We start from the raw sequence: 7,545 nt of genomic DNA on the forward strand, positions 1-7,545 counted from the left end.
GGAAATTGGACGAATGTCCATTTCCTGAGCCATTTCTCCTGGGAGATGTTCAGACTGACTAGATTGGAGGTCTTTCAAGTCCTCTGGTTTGACTGTGAGTGGAAGTCCTACCACAGTGGCTCTCTGGTAACTTTCCAGATGTCAGACATCATGTGTTAGCTCTGCTGGAGTCTCTAGATCTTGCCCCAGATCTACTATCTAAAAACCTACACAGGCTTTGCATGTCGCACTTGCCATAAAGTAGTTTTTAGGACTGGAGACTCTCTGGAAAACCGTGGCTTCTTGTGATGTCTTCTCCACAGCAACAGCCCTGCCTGCACTGCATTCTTCTGCTTGTCCCGTTTTGAAGAGCACACGCTCCCCTCTCAGTTGTGGGTGCTGTATTCATTACTGCACTTTGGTTTCCTGTGTCTTACGTGTTTGTGGATGGGCTTTAACAAAGAGCCATGTCTATGACAAACCAAGTGTGTTTATCAGGCTCAGCTAGCTCACACTCCATTCTGACCTCATCTAGTGTTCCTCCCTATCCTGCCAAGCCTGGAGCTAAAAACCACATTTCCCAGATCCCTTGCGAATCAGTTTGAATGAACTATTGCTTGGGAAGCTGGGCAGAAGCCCTCGGGTTGTGTCACGGATGCGGGTGGAGATGGTGCTGTTCCGAGGCCTCAGCACCCTGATGTGACCCTCCTGAGGAGGCTCCTCTGCTCCCCACGGTTAGGTACCACTCTCCTGGGGTGAGGAGCCTTTGCTGCACCAGTGATTCAGAAAGCCACCTCATCCCGGCTGATAAGCCTCTGTTTGCTTAATCTGGCTAGAATGGTTCTTACTGTCAGCAATTGAACCCTAAACTAATACAATTAGAGATTATTAAAATTAATTAACTTTAATGAATAAACCAGTGAACTGTATTTCAGTTTACAAATAAGTTTTCAGCACTTAAGAGTTTTCTCGGAGAAGCCCTTACCCATTTTGTAAATGAAATTTTTATTTCCCCAAACATGTCTGTTTCACAGAACCTCCATTGCACGCTGGAAGCAGGAATGGGCTCTGAGGTTAATGTGTAAGAGGGCACCTCTAACTCCCACACGTTTTTGTTGTTTTCCACCGGAGCTAAGGGCAATAAAAGCTTTGCTCAGAATTGGAGCCTGCTCTGTTCCAGGACAAGAAAAGTCAGAGCCAGAAGGTCTCTTCCTGGGCCCGGCTAGCCGCTGGAGATGAGAAAACGGCATCCTCCGTGTGCAGTCAGCCCCGAGCCTAGGCCCTGCGGGCAGCACAGAGAGGCAGGAAAGAGCGGCCGTCAGAGGCAGGGGATCCAGCCCTGCAGACGGGCCGCCTGCCTCTTCTGACGCCCGTGAGAGGAAGTGAGCCCCGCTCAACAAGAAGGCAGAGAGCCTCCGAACTCCTGCTCTCACACTTTCTCCTCCTTAGGCAGTAGTTTTGCCATTTATTTAAAAGTCATGTTTATGGAGGTATAATTGTTTACAGAGTAGAATTCATCCTTTGGACTGTGCAGGTCAGTGAGATTTGACAAATACTTTCAGCTGTGTAACCACCGCCACAATAGTTTCCTTGTGAATCTTTGGAGCCCATTCTCTCCCCCCGCACCAGCTCATGGTGGCCACTGTTTGCTTTTCCCAGCGTGTCAGACAGATGGGCTCATGCGGTATGCAGCCTCTGTGTCTGTCTTCTTCCATTTAATGACATAACGCTTCTGAGATTGATGCATTTGCAGGAGGCAGCAGCTTATTGCTCAGGCAGTTCCACGATGCGCATGCTCTGTGATTTGTGTCTCCAGCCGCCGGCTGGTGGACACTGGGGCTGTTTCTGCTTTTTTTTTTTTTTTTTTGGAGATTATGAGCAAAGCTACGGTAAACATTTGCCTGCAGGTCGTTTTATTTTTTATTTTTTTCACAGATCTTTTTATTTCTATTGGAAGAATGCCTATGGTAGATTGCCAAGTGAACACGGTGGGTGTCTGTTGAATTTTGAAGAAACTTTCAAACTGTTTTCCAAAGTGTTTGTGTGATTTTTCACTCTCCACTGCAGTGCATGAAGATTTCAGCTGCTCTGCATTCTTGCTGGCTTTTGCTATCAGCAGGTTTCTGGGTTTTAACCTTTTAAATTTAAAAAAGCCACTTTAGTAGCTGCGTATTGATTTTCATTTTCCTAACAGCCGGTGATGAAGAGCCGCTTTCTCTGCATGCTCATTTGCTGCCTGTGTCTCCTCGTTGGTGAAATGTCTACTGAAATATGTGGCCTCCCCCTTTTTTTTTTTTTTTTTTTTTTGATGCAGAGTCTCCCTCTGTTGCCCAGGCTGGACTGCAATGGCGTGATCTCAGCTCACTGCAACCTCTGCCTCCTGGGTTCAAGCGATTCTCCTGCCTCAGCCTCCTGAGATTACAGGCATGCACCACCATGCCCAGCTAATTTTTGTATTTTTCGTAGAGACGGGGTTTCACCCATGTTGGTCAGGCTGGTCTTGAACTCCTGACCCAGTGATCCACCCGCCTCGACCTCCCAAAGTGCTGGGATTACAGGCGTGAGCCACCACGCTGGGCCATGTTGCCCTGAGTTGTAAGAATTCTTTACATATTTATACGTCTTCTGGATAAGCCCTTTATCAGATATTTGTTTGCAAATGTTTTCTCACAGTCTTCTGACTTCTCATTTTATTAATAGTGTATTCATTTATTAATTGAGTACTTTCTATAGTTCCACATTTTTTTTCCAGTATTGGCTTACTATTAAGCCTTTTTAAAAGTTTTAAAATAGTTACTTTAGGGTTAAAGTATACATCTGTGCCAGTAAAAGTAAAGGCTTCTCATATTCTCATCATATCCTGTCTTCAAAGGATATTATACCACTTCATTTATAGTACATGCTCTTTGTGTGATTCTTATACATTTGACTTCTACATATTGTTATATTCATTTTCATAGAAAATTACTGCTGCAACACCTTACCACAGAAATTATGCAAATTTATTATCTTACAGTTCTGGAGGCCAGAATGTCTGCAAAAGTCTCCCTGAGCTGGAGTCTAGATGTTAGTGAGTTGTGCCCCTTTCTGGAGGCTCCAGGGAAGAAGGTTTCCCTGTCTTCTCCAGCTTCCGGAGGCCATTGCATTCATGGCTACAGCCCCTTCGTCCACCTCCAGGACCAGCCAGGCCTCTGTTGCTGCCTGTTCTCCCATAGTCCCACCTCCCTGACCACAGCCAGGAGACAGTCTCTGTTTTTAAGGCACTTGTGGTTAGATTGAGACTCCCGCAGATAAGCCAGGAAAACCTTCCCACCACAAAGTCCTTAATTTAATCCCATCTGCCAAGTCCCCCTGCCATGGAAGATGATATAATTGAAGGTTTCAGGGTTTAGGATGTGGACATCTTTGGGGTCTATTATTCTGCCTAACACAATATGTGAGAGACTGAATAGTGTACTGTTACTGTTTCAGTGTTTGACCTCAGTTATACGTTTAAAGTGAATAAAAATTAAAACGTGTTTTAGATTTACCTGTATTTTACCATTTCCAGAGCTTCATTTCTTTGTGTAATCCAAATGACCGTTTGGCATCACACTCCTGCCTGAAGAATTTTAGCATTTCATGTACAGCAGAACTGCTGGTAATACATTTTCTCAGCTTGTTTTTTGGTCTGGAAAATCTTTATTTTACCTTTTCTGGGGAAGATATTTTCTCTGAGTATGAAATTCTCTCTGACAATCATTTTCTCTTTCATTATTTTAAAGATGTCCCTCTATTACCTTCTGGCTTGTGTAACTTCTGAGGAGAAGTGTGCTGAGATTCTCTTTGGTGTTCCTCTGTAAGCAATGTGTAATGCTTCTTTCTCCTGGTTGCTTTCAAGATTTTCTCTTTATTTTTTCCCCTAGACATTTGAGGATATTTTTGGTTGTCTGTTGTTTATCCTTCTCAAGCTATCCTGAGCTTCTGGGATCTGTGATCTTCTTCTTTCTTTAATTTTGGAACACATTTCTTCTCTCCTGTTTATTCCTGTCTTTCTTCCTCGGGTACCAATTACACGTATGTTAGACCAAGTGTAGTATCCCAGTGGTTTCTTCTTCCTTATCCCCTGTCTTTTTCTCACTTTTGTTTTTCTTTGTGTTTTAGTTCATGTGACTTCTCTCAACCTAGCTTTAAGCTCACTGATTCTTTCCTCAGCTGTCTTCAGTGGGAAGACACAGGATACCATTTTTTCTCCTGTATCCACAAGGTAGTTTCTCTGCCCTTGGGAGAAAGGGCAGGGGCAGTAAAAAAAAAATCCTGATTTTATGGCCAGATGCCCAGGCTTGCCCAGTGCCAAGGCTGGACCAGCAGAACCAGAGGCCTCCTGCTCCAGCCTTTGCTTGACTGATTCTAGCACTGAGAAATCAGCAATGACTGAGCACCCGGCAGGGAGCCAGAGTGGAGGAAGACCCAGTCCATGCTGCAGGCATCTCGGGCCTGCAGAGAGAAAAGGGAGGCAGGGACACAAACCCTTCTGAACCCAAACCCTTTTGAATCCTTGCCCTGCTCTGAGCCCAATGTAACCATAGTCCCCTGGCTTTCCACGTCTTAAGCAGAAGCAAGCCTCTAGACCATAACATGCTATTTAAATAAATTGTGAGTGCCAAGACTAGCAATGCACAAAGAACTGTATGTCAAGATTCCGAAATCAGTGTATGCATGCAGAGATTTTATGATACTTAAAGGCTTTAGATCCTAGGCCATTGACACTCCAGTTCCCAGTAAGTTGTTGTTTCTTCTTCTTCTTTTTTTTTTTAACTTGGAGCTCAAAATTCCCTTCTCATTATCTTTTCTTTTCTGAGATTCCCAAATGAGCAAAAAATTTTTAAAAATGTCATGGACTTTAACATATGAAAGGTCAGTAAAATGTATTTATTAGATGAATGTCACAGACATAATAATTTTCTCTTTTTCCTTTAATGAAAATGTCAACTCACTTTGTGGTTATTTGGGAAGTAAATAATAGATTACTTCTCAAAAATGTTATGATACAATTGTTTAAAGGAAAACAGCCACATAGGTTCAATAAATTTGGCATAAAGAGGTAAAATGACTATTATCCTAAATTTCCTTCCTCAAAAGAAAATTTTACCTTAATGGGATAAAAAACAAGAAAGCCTTACTATCAGAATAAAGCAGGTGGCTTAATTAATAATCTGGAGACCTTAATGATATTCTCCTTTTCCCCAAGGGCTTTCTGAAACTAGAATTGTGTTTGAACTATGTGTGTGTCCTTGTCATTCAATACTAAGATTATTTTATCACACTTCTATGTGCAGGTTTTCTGAGCTGCATTACTTTTCTAATTACAATAATTATCTGCACATAATTTAGGCCAAATTTGAAGCACTTTTCAACTTATGATTTCTAGATAATTGCTGGCAGTGCATGATCCATGAATGAGTTGGGTTCTAACAGTCCCAGAGTGAGTTGTGTAGTTTTGACTGTGTCCTAGAAAAAAAATACTATATGATGGTTCTGTCTCTAGGCCTTCCAACAACATCCTTTTTTTTTTTTTTGAATTATACTTTAAGTTCTGGGATACATGTGCAGAATGTGCAGGTTTGTTACATAGGTATACACGTGCCATGCTGGTTTGCTCACCCATCAACCCATCATCTACATTAGGCATTTGTCCTAATGCTATCCCTCCCCTAGTCCCCCACTCCCTGACAGGCCCTAGTATGTGATGTTCCTCTCCCTGTGTCCATGTGTTCTCATTGTTCAGCTCCCATTTATGAATGAGAACATGTGTGTTTGGTTTTCTGTTCCTGCCAACAGCATCCTTTTTACCCCATCGTGTACCTGAGGTATAGCGTGGTGGTGAAATTGTACTCCAGAATGGAATCATTCCTATAATATAATAATGTTAAAAGTGCATTTGGACATTTGTTAATCAGATTTTCAGAACAGAGCTTCTTAGGGAGATGGTTGGACCACCATAGTCCTGCATCTTCAGGGAGCTGCTCACCATCCCCACTACTGCAGGCACCACTGATCCCTGAGTGAGACCCAGGCACTAACAAGACATGAAGAAGGTGCTGGGTTCCTGGCCGGTCCTTTTGACCCATAAGTGTGGTTCGGTTCTTGGCACTGATGGGCTGGTCGGATGGTGGTGAGGTCAAGCACTCCTTCAGTGCCTGAGGCGTGGCGAGTGGACTTTGGGACCTCTTCCTGAGATGATGATTGCTTCTCAAGGGTGGGAATGAGTTCTTCCAGGGGTCAGCGGTGTGTCATAGGCAAGCACAGCACATTACTAGAAAGCATACGTTTTATTAAGTAGAAGGTATCTTTAATTCCCTGAATAGTAAGACATCTTTGGATTGATGGAAAGGTTGCCCTGGGAAAGGTGGAATATTTGTTGTCATGACCTAAAGCAGCATGCCTAACACCATGTTTGCCAGAGCTCATGCCCACACTGCCATCTCGGGGTTTTCTAAGGGAGAGGAAGCAAGAGGAGGCCCTCGAATTTCTAACCGATTGCTGCAGTCAAAAAATTGCTAAGAAGGACTCAGTGGAAAAGGGAAAACTCAAAAGTGAAGTATGCTGTGCAGAAGCCAGAGCTCCACTGGCTCCCAGGATTACAGTAACAGTCAGGCTCCTGATGTCTGGGCCCAATAATGCCATGCGCAGCATCCACATCAGCTGTCCTGAGAACCAGCAAGGCGTCCAAGGCTTAGTGTGTGTTAGAGGCCAATACTGTCCCTGCTGTTCATTCTCAGGCTAAACCCACGATCTTAGTAAGCACAGATGCAGAGACACAGTTTGTGGTATTGCCGTCATTTTCTTGGGAATGTATCAACAGAGTATACAAGGGTAACAGTTCTTTCTATAAAAAAAATCAACATTTATTTTTATTCATTAATTTACCATGAAAATGATTTTTTCCCAGTAGAGAAGTCAGTCTGGGAAAACCAGATAAAAACTAGAAATGATCTTGTTCGCTATGATGGAGGCGGCGCAGGAGGCCCGGGAGCTGGATCACTTGACTTTGTTTTCTCTCCTCCTCTGCTTGCAGAACATCTCTGCTACAGTGGAGGACCCACACTCATAGTTCAGCTCCCCACCTCACACCCCAGCCAAGCCCAGGACCCACACTCATGGCCCCGCTCCCCACCTCACACCCCAGCCAAGCCCAGGACCCACACTCATGGCCCCGCTCCCCACCTCACACCCCAGCCAAGCCCAGGACCCACACTCATGGCCCTGCTCCCCACCTCATACCCCAACCAAGTCTAGGACCCACGCTCATGGCCCCGCTCCCCACCTCACACCCCAGCCAAGCCCAGGACCCACACTCATGGCCCTGCTCCCCACCTCACACCCCGACCAAGTCCAGGACCCACGCTCAGGACCCCTCTCCCCACCTCACACCTCAGCCACGCCCAGGGCCCATGCTCACGGTTCCGCTCCCCACCTCACACCCCAACCAAGTCCAGGACCCATGCTCATGGCCCCACTCTCCACCTCATACCCCAGCCAAGCCCAGGACCCACACTCACGGTTCCGCTCCCCACCTCACACCCC

At 44.9% G+C, this 7,545-nt stretch overlaps 1 annotated feature.

Annotated features, from left to right (window-relative positions):
* Positions 1,310-1,814: an enhancer, noted in NCBI's record as "H3K4me1 hESC enhancer chr18:75079064-75079568 (GRCh37/hg19 assembly coordinates)". NCBI's record gives its function as "activates a minimal SCP1, AML or CMV promoter by ChIP-STARR-seq in naive H9 embryonic stem cells {active_cell/tissue: H9 hESC(naive)}" and the evidence as "EXISTENCE:reporter gene assay evidence [ECO:0000049][PMID:30033119]".

This window comes from Homo sapiens, chromosome 18 (assembly GCF_000001405.40).
Source record: "Homo sapiens chromosome 18, GRCh38.p14 Primary Assembly".
In the NCBI taxonomy this organism is placed as follows: Eukaryota; Metazoa; Chordata; class Mammalia; order Primates; family Hominidae; genus Homo; species Homo sapiens.